General features: G+C 55.2%; 1 protein-coding gene across 3 annotated transcripts, besides 11 other annotated features; it reads left to right on the top strand.

The window, feature by feature from the left end:
- Positions 308–817: an enhancer, noted in NCBI's record as "H3K4me1 hESC enhancer chr22:37883315-37883824 (GRCh37/hg19 assembly coordinates)". NCBI's record gives its function as "activates a minimal SCP1, AML or CMV promoter by ChIP-STARR-seq in primed H9 embryonic stem cells {active_cell/tissue: H9 hESC(primed)}" and the evidence as "EXISTENCE:reporter gene assay evidence [ECO:0000049][PMID:30033119]".
- Positions 818–1329: an enhancer, noted in NCBI's record as "H3K4me1 hESC enhancer chr22:37882803-37883314 (GRCh37/hg19 assembly coordinates)". NCBI's record gives its function as "activates a minimal SCP1, AML or CMV promoter by ChIP-STARR-seq in primed H9 embryonic stem cells {active_cell/tissue: H9 hESC(primed)}" and the evidence as "EXISTENCE:reporter gene assay evidence [ECO:0000049][PMID:30033119]".
- Positions 1330–1839: an enhancer, noted in NCBI's record as "H3K4me1 hESC enhancer chr22:37882293-37882802 (GRCh37/hg19 assembly coordinates)". NCBI's record gives its function as "activates a minimal SCP1, AML or CMV promoter by ChIP-STARR-seq in naive H9 embryonic stem cells {active_cell/tissue: H9 hESC(naive)}" and the evidence as "EXISTENCE:reporter gene assay evidence [ECO:0000049][PMID:30033119]".
- Positions 1616–1745: a silencer, noted in NCBI's record as "silent region_13685". NCBI's record gives its function as "represses an Ori minimal core promoter by ATAC-STARR-seq in GM12878 lymphoblastoid cells {active_cell/tissue: GM12878}" and the evidence as "EXISTENCE:reporter gene assay evidence [ECO:0000049][PMID:35858748]".
- MFNG (MFNG O-fucosylpeptide 3-beta-N-acetylglucosaminyltransferase) lies at positions 1710–19031 on the top strand. 3 transcript variants are annotated; one of them, NM_002405.4, is made up of 8 exons: positions 1710–2171; positions 7325–7373; positions 7795–7897; positions 8596–8749; positions 11113–11198; positions 13417–13582; positions 15566–15651; positions 18065–19031. In NM_002405.4, the coding sequence occupies exons 1-8, from the start codon at positions 1917–1919 to the stop codon at positions 18129–18131; spliced, it is 966 nt and encodes a 321-aa protein (NP_002396.2). In that variant the 5' UTR covers positions 1710–1916; the 3' UTR covers positions 18132–19031. The 3 variants fall into 3 exon arrangements, 2 of the variants coding, with proteins under 2 accessions (NP_002396.2, NP_001159815.1); NR_029413.2 differs by lacking the exon at positions 7325–7373; NM_001166343.2 differs by lacking the exon at positions 7325–7373 and having other exon boundaries at positions 1710–2178.
- Positions 2316–2365: an enhancer, noted in NCBI's record as "active region_18974". NCBI's record gives its function as "activates an Ori minimal core promoter by ATAC-STARR-seq in GM12878 lymphoblastoid cells {active_cell/tissue: GM12878}" and the evidence as "EXISTENCE:reporter gene assay evidence [ECO:0000049][PMID:35858748]".
- Positions 2766–2825: an enhancer, noted in NCBI's record as "active region_18973". NCBI's record gives its function as "activates an Ori minimal core promoter by ATAC-STARR-seq in GM12878 lymphoblastoid cells {active_cell/tissue: GM12878}" and the evidence as "EXISTENCE:reporter gene assay evidence [ECO:0000049][PMID:35858748]".
- Positions 3116–3525: an enhancer, noted in NCBI's record as "active region_18972". NCBI's record gives its function as "activates an Ori minimal core promoter by ATAC-STARR-seq in GM12878 lymphoblastoid cells {active_cell/tissue: GM12878}" and the evidence as "EXISTENCE:reporter gene assay evidence [ECO:0000049][PMID:35858748]".
- Positions 3116–3883: a biological region, named in NCBI's record as "H3K4me1 hESC enhancer GRCh37_chr22:37880249-37880758".
- Positions 3374–3883: an enhancer, noted in NCBI's record as "H3K4me1 hESC enhancer chr22:37880249-37880758 (GRCh37/hg19 assembly coordinates)". NCBI's record gives its function as "activates a minimal SCP1, AML or CMV promoter by ChIP-STARR-seq in primed H9 embryonic stem cells {active_cell/tissue: H9 hESC(primed)}" and the evidence as "EXISTENCE:reporter gene assay evidence [ECO:0000049][PMID:30033119]".
- Positions 18350–18851: an enhancer, noted in NCBI's record as "H3K4me1 hESC enhancer chr22:37865281-37865782 (GRCh37/hg19 assembly coordinates)". NCBI's record gives its function as "activates a minimal SCP1, AML or CMV promoter by ChIP-STARR-seq in primed H9 embryonic stem cells {active_cell/tissue: H9 hESC(primed)}" and the evidence as "EXISTENCE:reporter gene assay evidence [ECO:0000049][PMID:30033119]".
- Positions 20507–21120: an enhancer, noted in NCBI's record as "H3K27ac-H3K4me1 hESC enhancer chr22:37863012-37863625 (GRCh37/hg19 assembly coordinates)". NCBI's record gives its function as "activates a minimal SCP1, AML or CMV promoter by ChIP-STARR-seq in naive H9 embryonic stem cells {active_cell/tissue: H9 hESC(naive)}" and the evidence as "EXISTENCE:reporter gene assay evidence [ECO:0000049][PMID:30033119]".

Raw genomic sequence — 27206 nt, 5'->3', positions numbered from 1 at the left:
TGCCTGCCACAATGCCTAGCTAATTTTTGTATTTTTGGTAGAGACGGGGTTTCACCATGTTGGCCAGGCTGGTCTTGAACTCCTGACCTCAAGTGATCTGCCTGCCTTGGCCTCCCAAAGTGCTGGGAGTACAGGCGTGAGCCATGGCGCCCAGCCCCCAGTCAGGATTTAAACCTGGTCTGTGGGGTACAGAGTCTGGGATCATCACCAAGGCTGGCATCATCACCATTCTGAGAATATGGCCTGTGAAGGGGCCTGGCTGGGGGCTGGCCCATGAGAAGGTCATTCAAAGGGTTGGTTTTCCCTTCCTCTCCCCCAGCTGTCCTCATGCAGGGTTGAGCCCGGCAGGGCCACTTCCCTTTGCCAGCCACCTGGTACTTTGTTGTGTTGAATTAACATTGATTGAGTTCTTGTCTGCCGGTCACTGTTCTAGGCACTGGGGATTAGGGACTCAGTGATCAAAAAATAAATCCTGCCCTGATATTCTCATGAGGAGGACAGAAACTTAGTTAAACATACAGAATGTTGGAAGATGAAAAGTGTGATGAAGAAAACAGTGAAGTGGCTTGAGAGGGACAGGCCTGGGGGGCTGGGAAGGAGGCGGCGAGGGGTTGCAATGTTAATAACGTGGTCAGGGAAGGCCTCACAGAGACGGTGACCTTTGTGTAAAGACCAGAAGGGAGTGGGGGAGTGAGACGTGCAGGTCTCTAGGGAGGGGCCCAGGTGGGAACAGCAAGTGCCAAGGTCCTGTGGCGGCCAGGTGCCTGGGCCAGCGAGGGTCCCAGGTTCTGGAGTGGAGCAGGGTGAGTAGCAGGAGATGGGGTGGGAGTAACTTGGGAGCCAGCTCACGCAGGGCCTTGTGGGCTGCTGTGTGCGTTTTGGCTTTTGTTCTGAAGAAAATGGGAGCCAGTGCAGGCTCTGAGTGGAGGAGGGAGGAGGTGTGAGTGAGCTTGTGCGAAACAAGATGGAGGTGGTGGCTGGAGAAGGCCCTCTGTCTGTCCACTGGTCAGGTGCTGGGAGAGAGGCAGCTCCAGAGACTGCGGAGTGAGGTCGGGTATGGGCTGGGGCACAGCTGGACAGGTGCCCTCAGGGGACCTCCTGTGAACTAGATGAGGAACAGAGACCTGGGTTCTGCCAGCTCTGCGGCTGAGTTGCTGGATCGTTTTTGCTCATTCTGTGCCTTTGTGCCTTATGTCTTCAGCTATAAACTGGGAACGACAGTCCCAGTGCTGTTGTGAAGACCTCAGGAACTGAGCGAACAACTGTGGGAGCCCCAGAGGTTAAGAGGTTATCACGGAAGGCTTCCTGGAGGAGGGAACCCTTAAGCTTTGAAGTCCAGATAGAACTCAGCCTAGTGGAGGGAATGTGGGTGAGGCTGGTGGAATATGGGAGAGCATCCCGGAGGAAACCTGTGAGCAAAAGCTGGGGGCTGGGTGAAGCAGGACACCAAAGTAATGGGTGTTGAATGGGCCGAGCTGACAGCTCTCTGGGGGAGTGGACGGTGCTGGAGGACACTCCCTTCCACCGGGCACGGAGGGTTTGTTGTGACTTCCTCCCACCGCAGCAGCTGGCAGAGCCGGGGCTGCCCTTTCTGCTGGTGCCTCCTTTCAGCCGCCTCTGTCTGGGGTTCCCTTCGTCTGGCCCCGCCCCTCGGGCTAAGCGGGGCGGGGCCAGGCGGTCCCGGAGGCTGCGGCAGGCCGGACAGCGGGAGCAGGTGGAGGACTGGCGGCGGTCGAGATCGTGCTGCCATGGCTCAGCCTCTGGGTCCAGAGCCTCAGCTCCTACCTCTTCCCTCCTTGCCAGCCCCTGATGCCTGCCAGACTTTTGCCTCTGCTGGAGCCCCTGCCTGACCAGCTTCCCCTCCCTGTCTGGTTGGGATTTGGGGGCTGAGCTGTCTGGGGTCCCAGGGCCAACCAATGCAGTGCCGGCTCCCGCGGGGCCTGGCTGGAGCCCTCCTCACCCTCCTGTGCATGGGGCTCCTGTGTCTGCGGTACCACTTGAACCTGTCCCCGCAGCGGGTACAAGGGACCCCCGAGCTGAGCCAGCCGAACCCGGGGCCCCCTAAGCTACAGCTACACGATGTCTTCATTGCAGTGAAGACGACCCGGGCTTTCCACCGCTTGCGCCTGGAGCTGCTGCTTGACACGTGGGTTTCCAGGACCAGGGAACAGGTGACAAGTGGGTGACATTGGGCCCTGGGGGTGGCCCCTGGCCTAAGGGGTTCTCAGAGGCCTTTCTACTGGGCTGGGGTCCCTGACTGCCTCATGGGAGAAGCTGCTCAATACCTGCCTAATCAGGGATCCTCTTCCTCTCTCCTTCTTCCGGGCTTTAGGGGCTGCCTGCGGCCCTGCCCGTGCCCTGTACTGGTCCTGACTCCAGGTGCACCCAGGTCCTACCGCTCCACCACTTTTGGGGGCCAGGCTGGGCCCCTGCTCCAGGCTCCCGGGTCCCTCCTGGGGGTTCTTCTATTCCTAGCCGCTCCCGTGGGGGCTTCGCTCCTAGCCACCCAGGCCCAGCCTGGCATCAGGGGTAATGGTGGGTGTTGGGCAGCTGGGGTGGAGGCCTCCAAGAGGTCCTGACCCAGACCCGTGCCCAGGCCAGGCTGTCCCACCCAGGCCCTAGGTGCTGTCCTGCCCGGGCTCTGAGGGTGGAGGACGGGAGGAGAATGGTGGGGTCTGTTCTTGGGGGAGGCATCCCTTCGGCCTTCCCGATAGCCCCTGCCGCTGTGTCTCTGCTGCCCCGGGTGTGCCGAGGCCGCCATGTCTGGCCTCCTGTGTTGGCTTCCTGCGGACTGCTTCCGAGGGAGGGAAGGAGAGCGCATGCCACGAGGGTGGCGGCTGAGGCAGTGGTGGGCCGGAGGTTGGGGAGGCCTGCCTGGCACGTGGGATTGTGTGTGTGTGTGTGTGTGTGCTCACACGCACGGAGCTGGAGTGTGCTAGATGTGTGTGACAAGAGGCATGTCTGTCACATGGCTGTGCGGCTCCGGCGAGCCAAGTCCCTTCCAGCCCTTTCCCTCCTCGCATCCAGTATCTTCCTTAAGCAAAGTTAGTGATGTCGGTGTTAGGGACCGTTGATGGGGGAGGTGGAGAATGGGTACACACACACACACACACACACACACATCGGTCCCCTCTTTGGCGGCTGGCTCAGTGGGAGGAAGTGACTGAGTCTTTGGAGATAGTCGAGACCTCCTGGAAGACCAAAAGGAGGGGGAGAGGATGGCTGGCAGAGGCCAGGCCCTCCTGGGGAGGGGCACCCTGCCCTGATTTCTGCCCTCGTACTTGGGATTAACTCTTCCCCAGCTGGCCCCCAGCACCTCAGCTCTTCTCTGGGCCCCACACGGCTTCTCATCTTGGGGAGATCCTGGTTCTTCCTGCGGAAGCAGCCAAGGCGGGCCCTCCCGCAGGCCTTCCTGTTTATGCGTCTGTGTACCCGGGAGCGTGGCCTCACGTGGCCCACGGCCCTTTCCTGTCTTATCTCCATCACCGCGGTGGTGCCCTTGCCCCGGATGAGGAAACTGAGGCCAGAGAGAGGAAGTGCTGGCTGGCGTGGTGTCACGCAGAAGGCCTGAGGGGACAGAGCCCAGTGGGACCTAGAACCTTGCTCCTGGTTGGGTGCTTTTCTCCCCTGCTGAGACTTGGGAACCCTGTGAGGACTGGGTCACTGGGCTACAGGAGTCGCTACCCCACGTCTCTCACCCTTTGGCTCACTTCTCTCTGTGACCTCAGCCAAGGCCCTCCCCTTTCGGCCCGCAGTTTCCCCATCTGCACGGGGCAGGAGTGTCTGGACCGGGCCTGAGCTGGTTAACTGCAGCGCTGGGCGCCCGCCTGGCTGGTTAAGGGCGGTCGGGTGGCAGGTGGGCCTTGCGGCAGGGGCCGGGACTCGTGTGCCGGCCTTTGTCCTGGGCTGAGGGGGTGGGCTGGGGGAGGCGGGTTTTGTGCTCAAGGCGAGCCTTTCTCCTCCCTATGGTCCCCTTGTTGGGGGGAGAGGTGGCAGCAGCCCCACCACTCCCCTCCTCTGCAGCAGATGGTCCCCGGCCACCCCTCCCCTGCCCCAGCAGGCTGCGTGTCCCTTTGTTTCCCGCGGCTGCCTGTGAAGTTTTCACCATTGTCAGGTCCCCTCCTTAAACAAGTCAAATGCAGCCCTTGGCTCCAAAGAAACTCTGCCCATCGCTCTGTGCCAACCTTAGGATTCCCAGGGACTGAAAGCGCCAGCCTCACTGCCCTCTCCTGTGCCCCCGCCCCCTCTGGACCTGGACTCCCCTTCCCGGCTCTCTCCCTCACTCTGTTCATGGCTGCTGGTGTTTTGTTTTGTTTATTTTGAGACAGAGTCTCACTCTGTTTTCCAGGCTGGAGTGCAGTGGCACGATCCTGGCTCACTGCAACCTCCGCCTCCTGGTTTCAAGTGATCCTCAGCTTCCTGAGTAGCTTGGACTACAGGCATGCGCACCACGCCCGGCTAATTTTTCTATTTTTAGTAGAGATGGGGTTTTGCCATGTTGGCCAGGCTGGTCTTGAACTCCTGGCCTCAAATGATCCACCTGCCTTGGCCTCCCAAAGTGCCTATTCTCCTGCTTTATTCAGGCTTACTAGATCTTCACCGGGAAACAGTCCTCAGCCCATTTGGCCCATGCTCCAAGCTTGAGAGTGTTTCACTATCGGGTGGCTGTTTGGTGGCAAAAGTTTGTCGAGGGCAGGGTAGGAAAGGCCTGGTTTCTTTGATAGGATCCCTTGAGGCTGTGTTGAAAACCGACTTGGGGTGGAGGCAGGGAGCAGGGAGGCCAGGGAGGAGGGCCTGCAGCAAAGCAGGCAGCAGGTGACGACAGTGGCGGGGACTAGGTGGCCGGGTGGGCCGGAGGGAAGAGCAGCGTCCCAGACGATTTGGAGGCTGGTGAGCAGAATTGATGACAGGCTCGGGAAGAGGTGTGAGAGGAAGAGAGGAGGAGCGGGGAGTCTGAGGTTTTGGGTCCCAACCAGTGAGAGGGAGGAGCAGGTCTTGGGGAGAACGGGGGCTCAGTCTTGATGTGTTAAGCCCCCAGGAGACGTCATGGTTTCAGGGGATTTGACAGTTTGGAGCTCAGGGAGAGGCTAGGGCTGGTGGTGTCCACGAGTCTCCAGCTCCCTGATGGTGTTTAAAGCTGAGAGGCTGCATGGCGTCACTGACGGAGTGGGCTTCATGGAGAAGCGGACCAGGGTCTAGGCTTGGACCACCACCATTTCCCCCTGCGGAAATCCAGAGACCTCCAGCATTCGCTAAATCTGACGGTGGGAGACAGACCCCAGGGAGAGAGGCTCAGAGGGTGGATGCTGCACAGGCCTTCCTGAGGAGAGCCAGGTGCCGGAGCAAGGAGACAAATTGGACCCAGCCTGTGGTCTCCAGGATGCCATCGTCTGGTGGAAGAGACGGGGAGAGAAATTTCTGTAACCAGGGAGTTTTGCTAACTGCTGTTAGTGACAGGAGAAACAGAGGGCTGAGGAACACATAGCAGGGGCCTCTAAAGTAGCTGGAGGGGTGTCAGGGAAGGCTTCCTGGGGAAGGTGATGCCTGAGCTGGGAGCTAGAGGGTGGAAAGAGGGCATAGCATGCGCAGAGGCTCAGAGGCGTGCGCACGTGCGTGTGTGTGTGTGTGTGTGTATGCGTGCGTGTGTGTGCGTGTGTGTGTGTGAGAGAGAGAGACAGAGAGAGAAGCCCCAGGGGTGGACAGGAAGTAATGAGATCAGACTACATCAGGCAGGGTGGCCAGGTGGCCCCTCACTGGCCACACTTAGGGAGGCTGGCCTTTATCCCAAGAGTAGTAGGGAGCCATGGAAGGTGTTAGTGGCTGGTGGGTGGAGTTGGGTGTTACTCGATTCTGGTCCTGGCAGGGAAACATATCTGAGGGAATGAGGCAGAGTCTTGCAGTAGTCCAGTGAGAGGTGATAGTGGCTCAGAAGCAGGGCTGTGGCCATGGGCCTTAGGAGATAGCCTGGCTCCCTCCTGCCCCTTCCTGTGTCAAACCTGGCTCCCGGCCTCCTGGCCTCCTATGCCTCAGTTTCCCCTGAAATACAAGTAGTTGAGCCTGACTTCACTGTCAACTCTTCCTTGCTCTTTTACACACAATCTTGTTTTATTCTCACAGCCACTACTATCCCCCTTTTGTAGATGGGTAAACTGAGGATCAAGGCGGGGACTCTTCTGATCTGAAGGGCTAATTCCTGGAAAGGAGGGAGGGGATTTTAGGTAAGCAGAGGGGAGCATTGCAGTTGGAGGCGCTGAGCTTCAAGGGAGGACAGGGTTAAGCCACGAGTGTGGCCCCAGTGGGGGCTGAGAGAGTCGGAGGGCTTTAAAGAGGTGGGACACTTGGAAGGGGTCCGGAATTGTCCTGAGTCCTGGGCCGGGCAGTCCCAGGGCCGGGGAGGCCCTCAAAGGCCCCTGATGCTCAATGGGTGAGAGGACCCACTTGGGCAGCTGAGAAGCTCTGCCATGTTGGGCCGGGCATGGAATGGGAAGAACACCAGTCCCCAGCCTGGCTTGTCTTTGTCCCCAGCCTGGCTTGTCTTTGTCGCATCCATGTACTTCCTCTACCTCTCATTCAGAGTCTGAGCTTGGATTATGTAGGGGCTGAGCAGCTTTAGCTGCCTGGGAGGCGGTGGGGAGAGGTCCGGGGCCTATGGGTTTGAATCTCAGCCTGGCACTTGCCAATCCTGGTCCATCACTCAGCCTCCTTTTTGTCATCTGGAAAGGGAACAGATGACAACGCCTGCCTCGTGAGGTTTGAGGGTCGTTGCGGGCAAGTGCATGTCCAATCTGGGAGAGCCGGACTGGGTTGTGAGGCAGCATTTCCGAGATGGCTTGCACAGGGGGTTTGTGTGGCTGTGAAGGTGTGACGTCTCCCTAGTGGCGTGGTGTCCCATGGTGTGGCCGTGGGTCTGTTCACATAGAGTTTGTGTCCTGAAAATGGGTTTAAGATTGTGTTCTGTGATTGTGGAGGAGCCGAGTGCAGCTGTGATTGTGTGTGTGTGTGTGATTGTGTGTGTGTGTGATAGAAGAGGGTGAGATGCTGCCCAGGTGTGTGGCTGTGGTTGGGTCCCTGTGGTGCTGCTCTGGAAAGGGGGTGAGTGTATGTGTTTAGACTGTGGGCTGTGTACACCCTGAAGTTGTGTGTCTACAAAAGCTGGGTTGTGTGTGTTGTATGTTGTCCTAAAGGAGCGTGTGACCATGAGAGGGGTGTGTCTGTCACTGGAGGAGTACAGAGTCCATCTGGGGCCTGGTGGTGGTGGGCTGTGGATTGGTCTGGGGTGTCCCTTGGGCCGATGTGAGTCCTGACCCCTTCTTCTCCTTCCTAGACATTTGTCTTCACCGACAGCCCAGACAAAGGCCTCCAGGAGAGACTGGGTAACTCTGCCCGGCCTGGGTGTGGTGGGGGACTTTAGCTGTTGCCTGGGAAAGCTGGGGCGGCTGTGCCCTGGCCTGAGGGTTCCCAGGAAATGGGCCGCCCACCCTTGGCATGTGGAGATTCCCCTTTGCCCAGGAGGGAAGTGGGCCTCTTCCCTGGAAACTGGTGTGGGCGTGGGTATGGGGAAGAGCGGTGCTGGACAAGGCCCTGGACACCTGAGTCCCAGCCCAGCCTGCTGTCCACTAGGTCTGTGGTCCTGGGCAGGTCTGCCTTCCCCGGGTCTCAGTCCTACCATGTGTAAAATGGGAGTGGGTGGGCTGCTCCAGACTCCCTGTTGCCCAGCCTTGCTCTGTATTCTGTGTTCAGGGCTCTGAAGGGGGGACCTGGGCAGGGTCCCCTGACTCCTCCTCACTTCTCCAGGGTCCCACCTTGTGGTCACCAACTGCTCCGCGGAACACAGCCACCCAGCTCTGTCCTGCAAGATGGCTGCTGAGTTCGACACCTTCTTGGCCAGTGGGCTTAGGCGAGTGTTCCTGGGTCTCTGGGGATAAGTGTGGTCTGGGCCCAGTGAAAATAACCCCTGGGACTCCTGGGGTCTGACTTCAGCCCCCACTCCTCTAGCAGGCAGTGGGCAGATGGCTGGGAAGTCCAGCTGGGTTCCAGTCCTGACATTCAGGATTGGGTATGTGACCTTGGGAAAATGGCTTTTTTTTTTGAGACAGAGTATCGTTCTTCTTGCCCAGGCTGGAGTGCAAATGGTGCAGTCTCGGCTCATTGCAACCTCCGCTCCTGGATTCAAGCGATTCTCCTGCCTCAGCCTCCCAAGTAGCTGGGATGACAGATGCCCACCATCATGCCTGGCTAACTTTTGTAATTTTAGTAGAGACGGGGTTTCACCATGTTGGCCAGGCTGGTCTCGAACTCCTGACCTCAGGTGATTCACCTGCCTCGGCCTCCTAAAGTGCTGGGCTTACAGGCGTGAGCCACCACACCTGGCCAGGGCGAGTGTCTTAACCTCTCAGTCTTGGTCCTCAACTGTGAAGTGGGTACCCTCCTCATGAGCTTACACAATATGCAACTTGGCACAAAACAGATGCCTTAAATGTCAGCCTCTCCCACCCCTACCCCCATTCCGTCACTGTTGACCGACTGTGGGGGTGCTTGGGGACCCTGGCTTGGAACCCCCCCAACAAGTTCACTGTCCCCGTTTCATCCCTACAGGTGGTTCTGCCATGTGGACGATGACAACTATGTGAACCCAAGGGCGCTGCTGCAGCTTCTGAGAGCCTTCCCGCTGGCCCGCGACGTCTATGTGGGAAGGCCCAGCCTGAACCGGCCCATCCATGCCTCAGAGCCACAGCCCCACAACCGCACGGTGGGTCCCTCTCCTCCTCCTTTGCCCCTTGGCCCGCTGATCCCAAGGGCCGGGCCGGTCCTGGGGGTGGGGGTGTGCTAGAGAGGTGAGAGGGGTTCTGGGTTTCAGGTTTGGCCCTATGTGGGTTTGGGCTGGTAGCTTCCCCTCTTCAACCCTCAGTCTCTTCCTCTGTGAAATGGGGAGACTGAGATCATGCAGTCGTGGCACAGACACAGTACATAGTGAGGCCTCCATCCCCCAGGAACCACGGCTTGTCCTGGTCACTCAGGGAGCATCCAGGTGAGCTGAGGCTGTGTGACACCACAGCAGGGCTCCCAGTCACCTGGTGTCCCCATGTAGGTGTGCAGGTTGTTAAAATGCTGGAATGGCTGGGGGCAGTGGCTCATGCCTGTAATCCCAGCACTTTGGGAGGCTGAGGTGGGTGGGTGACCTGAGGTCAAGAGTTCGAGACCAGCCTGACCAATATGGTGAAACCCCGTCTCTACTAAAAATACAAAAATTAGCTGGGCATGGTGGCGGGCACCTGTAGTCCCAGCTACTCGGGAGGCTGAGAGAGGAGAATCGCTTGAACCCAGGAGGCGGAGGTTGCAGTGAGCTGAGATTGTGCCACTGCACTCCAGCCTGGGCGGCAGAGCGAGACTCCGTCCCTCCGTCAAAAAAAAAAAAAAAAATTGCTGAATACTGTGGGGCTGGGTGATTGCTGCCACCTGAGCCCCAGAACCCTTCCCCACCTTCCCCTCCTGGGGCACCCTCTCCCTCCAGACACCTCCACTAGCCTGTGACTGAAGAGTCGACACCTGGCAAAACAGGGGGCTCTGTACCCGCCTCAGTTCCTGACCTGGATGGACACTGATTTGGGTTGCCAGATTCATTAAACAAATAAATGAAAAACCACTACATCCAGTTAAACTTGACTTTCTCATAAATAATGAGGAAATTTTTAGTATAAGTATGTCCCAAATATTGCATGGTTCTCTCCCTGTCCCCAGGACCCCCTGGGCATCAGGTGTTAGAGTGGTCCTGGCCCTAGGGCTCCCTTGGCTCCAGGAAGAAGGCAGATCGGGAGGTCCCTCTCTAGAGGCAGTGCCTGGTGCAGGAGCTGGGCACACAGCGGGGCTCAACCTCCCTTCCCAGGTCCCCATCTGCTTCATTAGGAAAACCAAGAGCAGAAAACACAGAGCCTTAATTATCAGTAGCTAATCAGCCTCTGAGCCTTAATTAAATTCTTCTGGGCCCTAGGGCTCTGTGTATGAGTGATTCCAGGGGAGCCAGGGGGTCCCCCAGGCTCTCACACCACTTCACTGCTGGCGACTCACCTCTGCCTAAGCAGTTTGCCTCTGGGGTGGAGAACTGCACGCTGGAGCCTGACTCCCTGGGTTTACACGGCAGCCCTGCCACCTCCTGGCTTTGTGACCTTGACTGAGGTCACCTCACCTCTCTGTGCCTCAGTTTCCTAATCTGTGAAATGGGTGATAACAGCCCCTACTCAAAGAGTGGTCGTGAACACAGAAGAAAGAATGAAATGAGGTCATCTCTCCAAGTCCTTGGAATGAGACCTGGCACGAAGTCAACACTAGAAAGTGTTAGTGATCTGAGGCCGGGCGCGGTGGCTCATATCTGTAATCCCAGCACTTTGGGAGGCCGAGGCAGGTGAATCACCTGAGGTCAGGAGTTTGAGACCAGCCTGGCCAACAAATAGTTAAACCCTGTCTCTACTAAAAAATACAAAAATTAGTTGGGCGTGGTGGCGCACGTCTGTAGTTCCAGCTATTTGGGAAGCTGAGGCTGGAGAATCGCTTGAACCTGGGAGGCGGAGGTTGCAGTGAGCAGAGATGGTGCCACTGCACTTGAGCCTGGGCAACAGAGCAAGACTCTGTCTCTTAAAAAAAAAAAAGTGTTAGTGATTTGTATTGGACACAGCCTGACCTTTGTTTCCCAGCCACATCTTTCCTATGCACACTCAGGCCCCGTCAACCTAGGCCCACCTCTGTGGCCCAGGAGAGCAGGTGCCATGTTCGGCAGCCCCTCCCAAGCCACATGGAGTGAGGTAGAGACCTTTCTCAGGGGAAAGGGGCATGGTGGCTGGGTGGGTAAAACAACACCTGTCCCCTTTAACTGGAATTCAGCTGGACTTGAGTCTGATCAGTGACCTCACCACTCATAATTAACTATGTGACTTCGGGCCTCTGTTTTCTTATCTATAGAATGGGTGCAATAATGCCAGGTTGTAGCAAGACTCTAGTGAGATTCAAAATAAAGGGCTTTTGAGCCATGCTGGTTGGGGGTGAAGGGTGGCCTGGCTGTCCCTTTTCCCCACAACTGCCACCAGGCTCACTCTGCCCCTTGGCCTTCCTCTCTCTCAGAGGCTGGTACAGTTCTGGTTTGCCACTGGGGGTGCTGGCTTCTGCATCAATCGCAAACTGGCTTTGAAGATGGCTCCGTGGGCCAGGTAAGCAGAGACCCAGGGGTGGGCAGGAAGGCGGGGAGGGGGTGGCAGCTGGGGTACAGGAGGGGCCTTTGCAGCAGGAAGGGCTTTGAGAGTGAGCTCAGGAGAAGCTGCTCCTCATTTGCGTGTGTCACAGAGCGGCAGTTGGTGGTGAACAAGCCACCTGCCACCTGCCCTCAGGGGCTGCACGGCTGAGCGCATGACGTGCCACTCACAGGCAAGTCATGTCATCTCCAAGAGCCCCAGTCCCCCCGTCGGCACATGGACCTGATAATGCAGTGGCCAATGGTGTAGTAAGGGTTAAATGAGAAAATGTCTGGGCTGGCCCTGGTAGGTGCTATTTACCGCCCTTTTCTGACTGGTCAATGCCGTAGGGGAGGTGAAGGCCAAATCTAAGGGTCTTCAGAGGAGGGAGAAGGGCCTTCTGGGTGAGGGAAGAAGGGAAGGCTTCCAGGAAGAGGTGGTATTTGAGCTGGGACAGTCCACTATACACTGGGCCATCTAAGGGAGATGATATTACTCCTAATAGCACAGTGGGTGTACATCCTGTGATATTATTCATAATATCATCTAAGGGAGATGATATTACTCCTAATATTATGAGGGGATCTCAGGGGTAGTGGAGGCCGCAGTGTGGGTGGGGGTGGGACACAGGTGTTCTAGAAGTGGCGAGGCCTGGCTTCTGGAGGTCTTTCCGGGCTATTATTATTATTAACAGCACCATCAGCAGCCACTCCCTTGTATTGAGGACTGACTCTGAGCCAGCTCTGTGCTCCATCAAGAGGATCACAACACCTGGGGGAGAAGGTGGCATTAGTCTTGTTTCTAGATCTCAGGCAACTGAGGCACTGAGATTAAGCCAGTCTGAGGTCAGCCAGGTTCAAGGTCACTCAGCTGCTGGGTTTGGCTCCAAGGTCTGCAAGCCTTGCTACTACCCAAGCCTGCCCTGCCTTGCCCTGGCTGGGAGGGGCGCCCCAGGCAATTCATACTGGACAAGAGCGGGCTCATTGTCCTGGGGCATGTCCACAGAACTGTGTGTGTACACATGACCAGGGTCATCCGTGTGCCTGGGGTGCCCCCACCCAGGCTTCTGCCCACCTCTAAATTACCTTTGTGTGAATTAGAAAAAGCCCTCTCCCTCCAACTCCTGCAGGTGCAGCTTGAGGGCATGCAGGCTGGGGAGGGGAGTGCAGGCTGGGGAGGGGAGTGCAGGCTGGGGAGGGGAGTACAGGCTGGATTTCCACACCCACTTGCCCCTTGGACAAGCATCCAGGGCAGCGGCATTAATGGGGTATACGCGGCCAGTTGAAGTCCATGCCTGGGACTCTGTTCCTGTCTCCCCTCAGCACTGGCTGACTCCAGCCCATCCTGCAAGACTCTGTTTAGGTGGCTCATGCCTGTAATCCCAGCACTTTGGGAGGCTGAGGTGGGTGACTCACTTGAGGTTAGGAGTTCAAGACCAGCCTGGCCAACGTGGTGAAACTCTGTCTCTACTAAAAATACAAAGATTAGCCGGGCATGGCAGCGGGTGCCTGTAGTCCCAGCTATTCAGGAGGCTGAGACAGGAGAATTGCTTAAACCCAGGAGGCGGAGATTGCAGTGAGCCGAGATTGCACCACTGCACTCCAGCCTGGGCAATGAAGGGAGACTCTGTCTCAAAAACAAACAAACAAACAAACAAACAAATGAACACACAAAAAAGCTGCCACCTCCTCTGGAAAGCCCGCCTGATTCTCCCTGTACCCCCAGGCAGCATGCTTCCCTCTGACTTAGCACCACTCTTTGAAAGACCTGCTCCCTGCTCTGTCTCCCGCCAGAATAGGGGCTGCTGTTGGGGGCAGGAAGCGTTTCTTTCTCATCTCTGTATCCTCAGCCCTAGCATGGTATCTGGCACCAGCAATGAATAAATGAGTGAATGAATGAATGACAAGACAGAGAGAGAAGGAAAGGCTACATTTATAAAGGGCATCACCTTCCCATTCCCTGTTTAATCCTCACGACAGCTCCACGAAGACACGGCCATTAGCATCCCCATTTCACAGAACAGGAGACTGAGGCTGAGGCTCCCCAAGGTTCCTGACTTGCTCAAGGTCATACAGTATGCAGGAGGCAGGTGCTCTGTTCTGCCAGCTTGTCCCAGTGGAGGGCCTTCATGGGGTGGCCCACGGCTCTGGGTGTGGAGGGCCTGGGCCAGCGTCTGCAGTCTGGCTCTGTCCCTCAGTGGCTCCCGTTTCATGGACACATCTGCTCTCATCCGGCTGCCTGATGACTGCACCATGGGCTATATCATTGAGTGCAAGCTGGGCGGCCGCCTGCAGCCCAGCCCCCTCTTTCACTCCCACCTGGAGACCCTGCAGCTGCTGAGGACTGCACAGCTCCCAGAACAGGTGAGCTGGCCTTGGGGGCAGGTGGCAAATGGGAAGGGGAACCAAAGGAACATGGGGTCCCCCCAACCCTCCCTCCTGGCGTTTGAAAGAAACCTGGAACTCCAGATTATGGGTCTTGGGTATTCCCTATTGATGGGGAAACTGAGGCCTAGGGTGGCAAAGGACACCCTAAGGGTACACAGGGACTCAACCCCTTCACCTCTAACCCTCAAGGATTAGCATTTGTGAAGCTGAAATTCTTTGATCTGGTCCTCAAATGCCGGGAAGGACCTGAACAAATGAGATGAGGTTGTCTTCAGGTTCCCACCACCCTGCTCTCCACCCATACCTCTACTCAGTCTTCCATCCTCCCCACATTCCTCCCGGGGAGCCCAGCTGGCTCTTCTAATTTTACCTGTTAGGAGCCCCTTCCTTCATCAAAACTCCCCTATCCATTGCTCAGTGCTGTTCCTGCCAACCCTGAGGTTACCGGGATGGAATGGGTCTTTGGGGGGACGCTCAGCATTATGTTAGGCTGGGGGAGGAGGGGGACCCCATCCCACCACCTGGCAGGTGATACAGGTCCAACTGGCTCTGCCTCGGAGAGGCTGCCCTCTGACACTGTAGATGGTCCTGGCTGGGAGCGTCCCCGGGATCTCCTGCCCAACAGTGTGACAGAAACTCAACGTGAACTGGCTAACCTGAAAAGGAAATTGTTGGCTCACATAACTGAGAAGCTCTCCCCCAAGTTGGCCCATCCTCAGGTGGGCTCAGCCCTCATGTTGGCAAGATGGCAGCCCCAGCTTTCCCCCCACTATCGGAGGAGAGCGCCTCCTTCCTTCAGATCCCCGGGCTGGCGTTCATTGATTTGATGACTGGGCTTGGGTCAGGTGACCCATCTCCTACCAGCACCTGGAGTTAGTGTTGATTGGCCAGGCCTGGAACTGGGGTGTGAGGTTGGTCCCATTAGGATGGCAGGGCCTGAAGCCAGGAAAGAGAGGCAGATTTGAGGCAGCCCAAACCAGGGCATCCTAATGGTTAGGGTATCCTGAGTACCCACAATGCCAGGCACCACACTGGGGTCCTTCCCTTCTTTTTTTTTTTGAGATAGAGTCTCGCTCTGTTGCCCAGGTTGGAGTACAATGGCACGATTTTGGCTCTCTGCAACCTCCACCTCCCGGGTTCAAGTGATTCTCCTGCCTCAGCCTCCTGAGTAGCTGGGACTACAGGCACCCACCACCATGCCTGGCTATTTTTAGTAGAGACAGGGTTTCACCATGTTGGCCAGGCTGGTCTCGAACTCCTGACCTCAAGTAATCCACCTGCCTCAGCCTTCCAAAGTGCTGGGATTACAGGCATGAGCCACCGCACCCAGCCACCCTTCTTTAACTCTCTGGTTCCTCACAGTAGTCACATGAGGTCAGTACTAACATTATCCCCATTCTATAGATGGGGAAAATGAGACCCAGCGAGCTGAACTGACCACGGCACACAGCTAATATGGGGCAGAGGGGCACTGGAACCCTAGCTGGGTGGTCCCTATGCCCACAGTCTTTAACCACTGTGCTCTACAGCCTCTGAGCTGAAATCATGATCCATGTCGTCACTGCCTGGTGGAGTAGGGGCTCCGGGTGAAGAGGGATGTGCCAAGGCCCTCCAGTGAGTCTCAGAAAACCTCCATTCTAGTCCAGGCTTGCAGCTTACTGGAAAGCTGCCTTTTCCTGTTGAGCCTCAGTTTCCAAATCTGTAGATGGGGGTATTGTTCCAGCTTCTCAGGGGAGCTCAACTCTTGAGGGAGCAAATGGGATTAAGGGCATGGCAGTGCTCTTCCAGCTGTGAAGTGCCTTGGGGCGTGGGGTGGGCTCCCACCACCAGCGGGGAATTTCAGGTTCCCGGGCAGCTTTCCCTGCAGCTTAAAACCCCTCCTCCACCTGTGCCAGGATGCTGCCCCCTTGTGGGGATCCCCAGTGTGATGCCCCAACACTCTTCTATCTCCCTGCCCAGGTCACCCTCAGCTACGGTGTCTTTGAGGGGAAACTCAACGTCATTAAGCTACAGGGCCCCTTCTCCCCGGAGGAGGACCCCTCCAGGTGGGTCTGGGGGCTGGAACCTTGGATGGGAGGAGTGGGGGCTGAGTCCAGGCATCCAAACATGGGGGAGCTGGGAGGGAGTGGAGTGGGACAGGCTTTGGTGGCTGACAGCACAGAGCTAGGAGTGGAGGGAGTGGATTTCAGTTTCTGACCCTGCCACTGGCTTGCTGTGTGACCTTGGGCAAGTGTCTTGCCCTCTCTGGGATTCGGTCTCCCATTAGTAACACCTGGAGGCTGGCCATGATGGATCTGAAGAGCTCTCCCAGCCCCAATCCTCTGGGGTTCTTTGGGAGTCCCTGGAAGGCTGAAATGCCTTCCCTGAGCACAGGCAACGCTCTCATGGTGGAACTTCAGGCTCTGGTGGGGGATTTTTATTTTATCTCTTTTGGACTCCTTGTTTCTTTGATACTCTTAAATGCTTCTTTTAGGCAGGTAAAGGGTTGGAATAACACCTTCCAGTTCTGCCCAGAACTGGCCACGGGGAGATGGGCCACCCAAATCCGCTCCTGACTGGTCTAGAGCAGTCTTGGAGCATAGCCTGTGATATGCAGCTTCCTTTCCACACACCAGCACCTGCCAGCTGTGGCTTTTTTTTTTTTTTTTTTTTTTTTTGAGATGGAGCCTCGCTCTGTTGCCCAGGCTGGAGTGCAGTGGTGCGATCTCGACTCACTGCAACCTCCGCCCCCCGGGTTCAAACAATTCTTCTGCCTCAGCCTCCCGAATAGCTGGGATTACAGGCGCCTGCCACCATGCCTGGCTAATTTTTGTGTTTTTAGTGGAGGCGGGGTTTCACCATGTTGGCCAGGCTGGTTTCGAACTCCTGACCTCAAGTGATCCGCCTGCCTTGACCTCCCAAAGTGCTAGGATTACAGGCATGAGCCGCTGCCCCCGGCCCAGCTATGGCTTGTGATTCTGGCCAGGGGTGGCGGGATGGGGGTGGAGAGGAGTTGGGGGAGGGGACACATGGACTCTGGGCCCATCAGTCCAACCCCAGAACTGATGCTTGACCCCTTCCCAGCATCTCTGCCAACTGATGGGCTGGCTTCACCTTGCATGCCTACAGCCATGGGGAGTTCCTCCCTCCTGTGGCAGTCTGTTCCATCTCTGGGCAGCTGGACTAGCCCCAACCCTTCTATTTGCATTTCTGCTCCTTGTAGTGACATGCAATGGGTCTGGGAACTGGGGAAGGAGCCCTGATTCTGCCTTTGGAGACTTAGCAGGGACTCAGGGAGGTAACGAGTAGAGGAGGGCATGAGGTGAACTCTGGGCCCACTTGAGTGACAGAGACTTGTCCAGAGGGAGTCCTGGGGGACGGGGAGTCTGGGACACTGTGTGTGTAGGGGATGAGGGTGAGTATGCCAGTATAGGTTGTTATGGGAGAGTAAGTCAGAGCCCTGATGTTGACTGGGGAGTAGGGGCTGGCCGGGGAAGGCTTCTGTGAGGAGGTAACGTGAAGGACCTGAAGGGCTAGCAGGAGTTCGCTAGGAGAAGAGCAGGTGGCAGATCACTCCCGCAGAGGGGACAGCATATGCAAAGGCCTGATAGCAGGAGACAGGCCTTGACCTGCTCAAGGTAGGAACGGGAGACTGTGTGACTGGAATGTGGAGAAGAGGAGGGAATGGTGTCAAATTTGGTTGGGGACGTGGCAGGGGCCTCTCCAAGGCCTTTGTAGGCTCTGTCTGGACGCTTGTGATGCTTGGAGGAACCAGGGCCCCTGGCCCTGACGTTCTGCAGTGCTGCCTGTCCTGGGGCAGAGGGCTCCCATGATGCTGAGGGCCCTTGCGGCCAAGGCTGCGTTGAACAAGTTGGATATTACAAGGAGATAGAATTTGGCTCGATATAGGAACAAAAATTCAAAATTCCAAGACGAACGAAGCTGCCTTCTAGTAGGATGAGCTCCCCGTCAGCAGTGTGTAAGCCGTAGCTATACTGACAAGAGGTTTAAGAATTGCTGTTAAATTTCCTCAAAGCTTGAAGATTCTAGAAGTCATAGATTACTGCCAAATGGGTCTGGAGCCACCTAGAGATTCAGATGCATGTGATCAGATGATTGGCCTCAGCTGAGGTCTCTTTATGGCTTCTCTGGCTTTTGAAGTTTCTCCAAACTAGCGGTTCTCAAGTGGGGGTGATTTGTCTCTTAGGGGACGTCTGGCAATGTCGGAGACATTTTTGATTCTTATGATTCAGGAAGATGCTACTGGAATCTTGTGGGTAGAGCCCAGGAATGCTGTTAAATATCTCGCAAGGCACAGGACAGCTCCACAACAAAGAATTCTCTGGCCCTAAGTGTTAGTGGTGTTGAGGTAGAGAAACCCTGCTCCAAACCGCCTCTGTGGCATGTGTGCACCTAGGAGAGTGGGCTGAGAGCAGAAGTGGGGGGTGACCATCCTGTCCTTTTCTGGTCTCTCTGCAGATTTCGCTCCCTCCATTGTCTGCTCTATCCAGATACACCCTGGTGTCCCCAGCTGGGTGCCCGATGAATCCTGAACTGCTGGGCAAAGGTTGGGCAGAGACTTCTGGGTGTGCCTTGGCTCCCAAGGTGGCACTGTGGGTCCCTGGCAAGTGTCTTGTGATAGGCAGTCCCTGGCAGGGCCTTCGGGTGGTTGGCAAGCCCAGGATCTGAGTGGCAATTGGCACTGAAGGCACCCCAGGCCCCTGGGAGGTGAGTTAGACAGCCCAGGGGACCAGGTGGACCAGGTGGTGGCCAGAGAGGCTCCAGGGGCTAGACTCCCTCAGGAGGCTGAATTGAAAAAGGGCAGGGGGCACTTGAGCTGGGCTGGGGCTCAGGGGTCCTAACCCTTTAGGCAGTGACATGGCCTCTGGGTGGGGTCTGGCCGTTGGCCCTGGCTAATGTCTCTCAGTCATTCCCCTGGGGCTCAAGCGCTGGGCCGCCCACTCCTGCCTCCCTCATCTGTGTCCCGAGTTCCTGAAGGGACATGGGTGGAATGATGGCAGAATCCAGGGTCTGCAGCACCTGCTGTTGTTGCCAACCAGTCTCCCAAAGCTCCTTGCTCCCCACCCCTTGCGAACAGGACCAGATTTTGTTTGGAGCCTCAGCATGCCGGGGCCCAGATGATGGAGCATAACGGGTCCCAGCCAATTGTGATGATCCTTTTTGCTCATTTCCCAGCCTTTCTTGCTGTTAGGGGCTACCATGGGACCAGCTCTGGCCAGAGGGAACTAAGCAAATCCAATAGAGATGTTTCTGGGGAAGGTTTTGCAGCCCACTCCCCATCTTCCTGCTATAAATGTGGGTGTGATGGCTGGATCTGGGGCAGCCACCTTGCTACCATGAAGGAAAGGCCAAGACAATCATCCACAGCTATTCCCTCCAGCATCTGGTTCTGTACAAAAATTAAATGCTTATTTGTTTAAGTCTCTCTTGGTCCAGTTTTCTGTTACATGCAGCCAAATTGTTCCTGACGGGGTATGGTCTTTATCTGTCTATCACAGTGGAGATGGTGATCACTTTTGGTGGTGTGATATGATGTGTGCAAAGACCATGTTACAGAGCCTGGCACAGAGAAAGGAAGGGCAGAGTGGCTGGTGACTGTTACTAGTGTGTTTGTGAGTCCTGGTGTGTGAGGCGGTACACAGGTGTATGTGTGTGTGTGGCATGTACCTTCTACATGTGTCTGTGCATAAACATGTCCATGTGTTTTTTTTTTTTTTTTTTTTTTTTTTTGAGACAGAGTCTCACTCTGTTACCAGGCTGGAGTGCAGTGGCGCAATCTTGGCTCACTGCAACCTCCGCCTGCAGGGTTCAAGCAGTTCTCCCAATTCTCCTGCCTCAGCCCCCTGAGTAGCTGGGATTACAGGTGTGCACCACCGCGCCCAGTTAATTTCTGTATTTTCAGTAGAGACAGGGTTTTACCATGTTGGCCAGGATGGTCTCGATCTCCTGACCTTGAGATCCGCCTGCCTCGGCCTCCCAATGTACTGGGATTACAGGCGTGAGCCACCGCGCCCGGCCTGTGGTGTGTGTTTTTGTGGCTGTGTCGCACATGTGTACATGATGTATACATGTGAGCCTGTGTGCTGTGAGGTGTGGAGTGGTTCCTCCTTTTCTCTGCCCCCAGGGCCTGGGTTGGGGGAGGTCAGAGAATCAGGGAAGGCGGAATGGAGACTCAGGGCTGAGGGACTTAGCCTCAGGTATCAGATAATGGTGCCAAAGGGCGATTTGACAGCCAAGGGCAGGAACTGAATAAATGCAAGTGCCCTTGGAATTTCCGATCCCAAGGAGGTGGATGGATGAATGAAAGTGATCATGGTGAAATTTCAGGCATGGTGGCACATAGGCAGGGGAGGGTTAGAGAGGGGAGGTCTGTGTCATGCCCAGTGATGCTTGGAGTTGGGGTCACAGTGGGGCTCTCAGATGGGGAAGGAGGAGGAGAGATCCCGAGGGCCAGAGGGGCCCTGATCCAGGGAGCCAGGGCTAGGGGCTCCACCCTTGAAGAATCAGAAACTGTCTTCTGGCTACATCTGTGCTGGGGACATCTGGAACCACTGAGCACCTGAAGCCAGCCCCTTTGTTTTCCAGGGAGGAGAGGTCCAGAGAGGGACTGCCACATGCTGTGGTCACACAGTGAGTTGGGTGCAACTGGCCACTTGTGCTTCTCCAAAGCCCCGCTTCTTTCTGGGCTGGCCCAGGGCTGGGTTTATGGGATGCCAGTCGAGTGAGGGCAGCCCCCGGCCCTGCAGCCCCGTGGGGCTGGAATGGTGCCATCCACAGTCGCCGTCCTCCCCACCCCACCCAGGGAAGGCTGCTCATCGGCCCGCATTTAGACGCGGCAGCAGATTTTCGTGTTGCTCCCAGATCCTGAGGGTCGGGTGGAGGGAACAGGACTCGGGCCATCTGCTGCCTCCATTGTCCCAGAATAGCTGGGGGTAGGGAGGGGGAGCAGAGTCAGCAAGGATCAGAATTGGGATGAAGGAAGGAGGGAGTCTGAGTTTAACCCTTTGCGTGTCTGCCTGGGAAGTTAGGAAGCTCCCTGTGCCCTGTGCTGAAGTGACCCATCTGGACCCCAGAGGCAGGGGCTGAGTGTGGGGTGGGGTAGCAAGGTTAGACCACCTAGTCTTGGCCTTGCCATGCCCCTTGGGCACATAGCTGCCGCTGAGCTTCCTCCCGTTTAGCCTGAGCTCTGCCTGCCCATTTTAGGGTGCATGTGGATGAGATACTTTGAGGACCATGAGTGGTCACTGATCCTTCGGCTAGGTGGCTGAGGGTAGGCCCCCATGATAACAGGGACAGAGAGTGACTCCAGAACAGGAGCCCTGGCCTGGGGCAGACACCAGAAGGAGCCTGGAGATCTCCTATAGGGGTCTATGGCTCCCTCAACCAGCCCCTATCCCCAGCAAGGAGTGTGCAGGGGCCCAAGGTAGGTCTCCTCTCCTCCCAGCAACCTTTTTCTTTTTTGAGACAGTCTCACTCTGCCACCGAGGCTGGAGTGCAGTGGCATGATCTTGGCTCACTGCGACTTCCGCCTCCTGGGTTCAAGTGATTCTTGTGCTTCAGCCTCCTGAGTAGCTGGGATTACAGGCATGTGCCACCACGCCTGGCTAATTTTTGTATTTTTAGTAGAGACAGGGTTTTGCCAAGTTGGCCAGGCTGGTTTCAAACTCCTGACCTCAAGTGATCCGCCCGCCTCGGCCTCCCAAAGTGCTGGGATTATAGATGTGCGCCACCGCGCCCAGCCCTGGCAATCTTTTAATTGATGCACCTGCTCCTGCTGTGAGTGAGGTGGACTCCACCCCGGGAGGCTGGTGACCTATCATCTCAGCTTTGCCCTTCTGTAAGTATTGATGCCAGCAGAACTATAAACATACATATCTACCATCAAATGCATGTTGGGGGTCAGGCACTGTTCTAAGTACTTGACATAAATTAATTCATTTCATTCCCACCTATTTGAAGTAGGTACAATCGTTATTCCCGTTTTACAGATTGGGAAACTGAGGCACAGAAGGGGAGAAGGTCCTTGTGCCAGGTCATAGGTCTTCTCGGTGCCAGAGCCAAGGTTGGAGGCAGCCTGGCTCTGCAGTGGTCATCTCGCTGCGGGACAACTGAAGAGTTGGAGAACCTCCTCAGGCCTGGGCTCCACCCTGCTGCCCACCTGTGGCTCTATGCCCTTAGGCAGGTGGCTTCACTGTTCACTGGCCTCTCATCTGTAAAATGGGCACAGTGGCTCCTATGCAGCAGGCTGCGAGGCTTTGAGATGCTGCATAGAAAGCTCCTGATGCGGGGTAGTTGCTCAGTAAGTAGCACCTCTCTGTCCTTGCTGAGCTCACGTTATCAGCAGTAAGAGGTTGGGGTACTGGGCTGGCCATAACCTCCACTCCCCACCTTGGCTGTTATCACAGCAGCCTCCTCGCTGCTCCTGTAGTCCTCTCTCCACTGCTCACTGGCTCCTGGCACAATGGCCTCCTTGCTTGCTGTGGCAGGTGTCATGTTCTCTGCCAGCACCAGTTCTTGCCTCTCCTTGTATTGCAACCCTCACTCCTGCACAGCTGGCTTGTTCTTGTCAAGCTCCCATGTCCCACCTCTTAGGGAGGCTCCCCACTCCCATCACACAGCAGCCACCTGGTGGTCATCAATCACCTCCTGTTATAGTCACTCATAACCTGTCACCCTTGCAGACCTGCCTTCCAGGTATTTGTTTGTTGTCTACTCCCACCTGGCTGTGAGCTCCACGGTCAGGGATCCCCTTGGTTCTGTTCCCTGCAGCTCATGACCTGGCATAGTAGATCCTCAACAAATATCTGAGGAACGAACAGAAACATAAGTGAACGGACTTCTCAGATCTCTTCCAGCTCTGTCAGTGTTTTAAGATGCTATGGAAGATACTGAAATAACTGAGGCAATGCAGTGGGGCTTCCTAATGGAGGGATCAGGCTGGCAATACCAGAACGCACCAAGCCTTCTTAGTATCACCCAGAAAGCGTTCTTAGTATGCTCCAGATGTGATCCCATAGGAAGGACACAGCACTTCCCAGGAAGTCCGCTTGCTAGAATGATTGACCCTACATCACCTCAACCCTCTGGACCTAAACACCAGTCTACAGGAAGCAGGAGGACAGTGCAACATGTTAAATGACACCACGAGGGTTCGGTCTGCCACATCAACAATGAGGACAGTCTCACATGACGAAGGGCCTGGTTTCCTCAACAAGTAAAAGGGCATAAAAAGGAAGAGAGTAAAGACTGTTAGAGAGGAAAATAGATTTAAGGGATAAAGTACCAAAATGCAATGTATGGGTCGGGTGCCATGGCTCACGCCTGTAATCCCAGCACTTTGGGAGGCCAAGGTGGGCGGATCACCTGAGGTCAGGAGTTCCAGACCAGCCTGGCCAACATGGAGAAACCCTGTCTCTACTGAAAATACAGAAATTAGCCAGGCGTGGTGGCGGGCACCTGTAATCCCAGCTACTTGGGAGGCTGAGGCGGGAGAATTGCTTGAACCCTGAGGCGAAGGTTGCAGTGAGCCGAGATCGCGCTGCTGCATTCCAGCCTGGGCAACGAGACTTTGTTTAGATCTTTATTCAAGCAGACGAACCCTAAAAAGGCATTTTTCAGGAAAATGAGAAAATTTGAAGATGGACTGCATATTAGAGGATCTTAAGGAATGGTTCATTTTATTAGGTATGGTGATGATGTTGGGCTTATTTTTAGAAATGTGCTAGTGTGTGAGAGATACATTCTGAAATATTAATGGGTGAAATGATCTGATGTCTGACATTTTTGTTAAAAAGGGGCTTGAGGGAGGAATGGAATGAGAATGGCAAAGTGGGTATGGCAGTTAGAGCTGGGTGATGGGTGCGTGGGAGTGCCTCATACCAGTCCCTCTACTTCTGTAGGGGTTTGAGACTTTCCATAATAAAAGTAAAATGGAATAAATAAAAGTCGGTCTGTGCATATTTCATTTCTCTGGCTGTGGCCCTCTCCTTCCAGCTCCCCCCTCCTCCACGCCCCACATTCAGGCCCAGAGAACATCTGTTTTTACCAGGCACAGCTGTCCTGGCCCCACTTCCTGTTAGCCCCAAACACCCGGAGAAAGGAAAGCCAGGCCTTGACTCAACTCTGGCTCCTGCCTGATTTGCATTTGGCCTGTTGCCTGGTTTCCCAGAGGCCCACCCTGATTTCTTTGGGTTCTGAGCACTTGTCTCAGCTGCTGTGTAACCCAGGAGCACTTCCCCTGGGCACATTCCTCTCCCTACTCATCCTCCAATAATTGCTCGCCTCCTCTAGCAGGGGTCAGGGAGGTGGAAGTGGGGATGGGATGGGTCCCTGTGTCAGATGCTACATGGGACAATCAGGTGCAAGCCCTGCCCTCAATAGGGAGTCCCAATCCCAGTTGGGACATGATTGAAAACATAGCGGCCGCGCAGTGGCTCACACCTGTAATCCCAGCACTTTGGGAGGCCGAAGCGGGCAGATCACAAGGTCAGGAGTTCGAGACCAGCCTGGCCAATATGGTGACACCCCATCTCTTCTAAAAATACAAAAATTAGCTGGGCGTGGTGGCACATGCCTGTAATCCAAGCTACTCAGGGAGCTGAGGCAGAAGAATCGCTTGAACCCGGGAGGTGGAGATTGCAGTGAGCAGAGATCACGCCACTGCACTCCAGCCCAGGAAACAGAGTGAGACTCCATCTCAAAAAAAAAAAAAAAAAAGAAAAAAGAAAACATAGCACATCATGTAAACAACGATAATCAGCAACCATATGGTGCAGGGAGGGAGGACTACATTCTGGGGGGTTCAGGGCGGGAGGAATCAGGCACATTGATGTGTGAAGTGGCGTTGTGTCTGGGTCCTAGGCCACGAGATCTGAAGGAGCAGAATGTGTCATACTGTGCCTTGCAGATAGGGCCGTGGAGACTCCAAGGAAAGATACAGATGCTGGTTATGGTTATGATAACTACCGTTCTCACATGCCTATGTATCTCATCTTGCAGGATAAAGGCCAGGTATGTGCCTGGTGCTGTGTCTACACAAAGCAGAAGGGGCTGCCTCTCTCCCTCCCTCCCCACGTCTACCCTGCCTGATGCAGCTCTGTGCCTTACAGTATCTGGCACAGTGCTGGGTACATAGCAGGCACTCCATGAAGACCAGCTGATTATTGAGGTCAGTGTTCAAACTCAGTCCAGTACCAAAATGGCTGGATAGAATCACAAGCAGTTAGGATAGTTGGTTAAAACAGATCCCAGGGCTCCATATTAGACCCTCAGAACCCAAATCTTTAAAGAAAGGGCCAGGGAATCTGTATTTTTACCTGCCCCCCACCCAGGAGGTCGTAAGTTGCTGGGTTACAGAAGGAGGTGAGGGAGTTAGAGGATAGTTCAGCACCGCGGACAGAGCCACACTGCCGCTTCCATCGACTCTCTTTCCTGGGACTGACTAGCTGGGGGCAAGGAAGGTCAGTCTCTGTATGTGAAAGGGATCCACAGTCTAATCCTGATGGGGGCCAGGTGACACCTGTGGTCTTGACCCCCACATGACGCAGCCCCGGTCCCTGCTTCGGGAGCAAGTTTCAGGGAGGACAATGGTCTCGCTGCAGAGACAGCTTCGACTGCACAGGGAGGGGCCGTATAATAAATATCCCCTCGATCTCTTTTATAAGTTGTAAGTGACCCCCATACTGTGCAAGCAGCAAAGCATGAAGCCTGAGCCTGTGTGAACAGATTAATCCCCCAAACATGGTTTGAGCACCTACTGTGTTCAAGGGCTGTGCTGGTAGCCACAGGGCATGTAGGGATGAGAGAGAGATACAGCCGCCGCCTCAAGCCACCTGCAGCTTGTCAAACATGGTTCATTGGTTGTTAGAAAGGAGAGCAGCCTTGAAGATAACCAGACCCTGAGTCCAGTCAGTGTGCGTGTTAGAGAGGCAGCCAGGGGAGTGGAGAGAACAGACATTTGGTGGCAGAGGCTTCCTGCATTTGAGAACTGGCACTGACAAGCTGCGTGGCCTTGTGCATGTGGCTTCACTCTCAGAGCCTCGGTTTCCTGATCTGAGAACTGGGAGTGACTGCATCCCTCCCTCTATCCCTGCCCCGCCCCCCAGCATGTACTAGGAAAGTGCCCACCTGGCCTGGTTCCCAGGACCCAGCCTGAGCACCATTCATTTACTCATAGACTCTGCATTTGCTGAAGACCCATTATATGCCAGTTACAGTGCCAGACACGGACAATAAGGTGGATGAGAGCTAGCACCCTGGGATCTGATACTGGGAGAGTAGGCAGACATGGCTCCTCCTCTTTTTCTCCTGAGCCCCCAGCTGGGCGACGTTTCTAGCTTCCCTTGCAGTAAGGGTGGCCATGTGACTGAGTTCTGCCTGATGGATGTGCCCCACTTGCAGGGCTGGCCCATAAAGCCCTCCCCCATGAGGTGATCTCTTTTCGTCTCCTTCCCTGGCTGGTGAGAGAAGCCTCTGGGTGCAAGAAGGGCAGAGCCTGGAGGCGGGAGGGGCCCAGGACCCGAAACAGCAGGAGGAAGTCTGTTCACCAAATAGTGGCACTGAACTGTTGCAAGCAGCAGAAACATACTAGTGTTGAGTTGAGGCCCTAAATTTTGGGGTGTTTGTTGCAGCACTTAGCCTGTCCTGACAAACACAGAGAGACAGACATCAAGCAGGTGCAAACAAGCAGGAATTTCAGAGACGATGGGGTGATGAAGGAAATAAACAGGAAGGGGACAGTGGAGAATCCTTGGGGAGGATACATTATGGATTTCTTTGCTTTTCTTTTTTATGAGACAGAGTCTTGCTCTGTCACCCAGGCTGGAGTGCAGTGGCACGATCTTGGCTCACTGCAACCTCTGTCACCCGGGTTCAAGCGATTCTCCTGTCTCAGCCTCCTGAGTAGCTGGGATTACAGGCGCCCACCACCATGCCTGGCTAATTTTTGTATTTTTAGTAGAGAAAGGGTTTCACCATCTTGGCCAGGCTGGTCTTGAACTCCTGACCTCAGGTGATCCACCCGCCTTGGCTTCCCAAAGTACTGGGATTACAGGTGTGAGCCACTGCACCCGGCCCTAGACTTCCACGCTTTAAAAAATGACATTATTAATTTTTAAAAATTGCATTAAAATATATATAACAAAATTTACCATTTTAACCATTTTAACCATTTTTTTTTTTTTTAAAGAGACGAGGTCTCACTCTGTTGCCCAAGCTGGAGTGCAGTGGCATAATCAGAGCTCACTGCTGCCTTGAATTCCTGGGTTCAAGTCATTCTCTCACCTCAGCCTCCTGAGTAGCTGGAACTATAGGGGCATGCCACCACACCCTGGCTAATTTAAATCTACATTTTTTTTTTTTTTTTTTTGTAGAGACAGGGTCTTGCCATTTTGCCCAGGCTCGTCTTGAACTCCTGGGCTCAAGCGATCCTCCTGCCAAAGCAATCCTCCTGTGCTTGGCCTTTAACCACTTTTAAGTGTACAATTCAGTGGCATTGATTTTATTCACAATGTTGTGTGACCATCACCACAACTTTTTTGTAATGTTTAATCATAATGTTTTCAAGGGTCATCCATGTTTGTAGCATATATCAGCACCTCAT

This window comes from Homo sapiens, chromosome 22 (genome assembly GCF_000001405.40).
Source record: "Homo sapiens chromosome 22, GRCh38.p14 Primary Assembly".
Classification (NCBI taxonomy): Eukaryota; Metazoa; Chordata; class Mammalia; order Primates; family Hominidae; genus Homo; species Homo sapiens.
This window is presented reverse-complemented; position numbering and strand designations above follow the sequence as displayed.

Bases quoted from the DNA above. Each gene is read 5' to 3' on its own strand.
- MFNG (NM_002405.4), top strand. From the start codon at position 1,917: ATGCAGTGCCGGCTCCCGCGGGGCCTGGCTGGAGCCCTCCTCACCCTC. The intron at 2,172-7,324 runs GTGACAAGTGGG...TCTCCTTCCTAG, and splicing joins TTTCCAGGACCAGGGAACAG to ACATTTGTCTTCACCGACAG. The intron at 8,750-11,112 runs GTGGGTCCCTCT...CCTCTCTCTCAG, and splicing joins CACAGCCCCACAACCGCACG to AGGCTGGTACAGTTCTGGTT.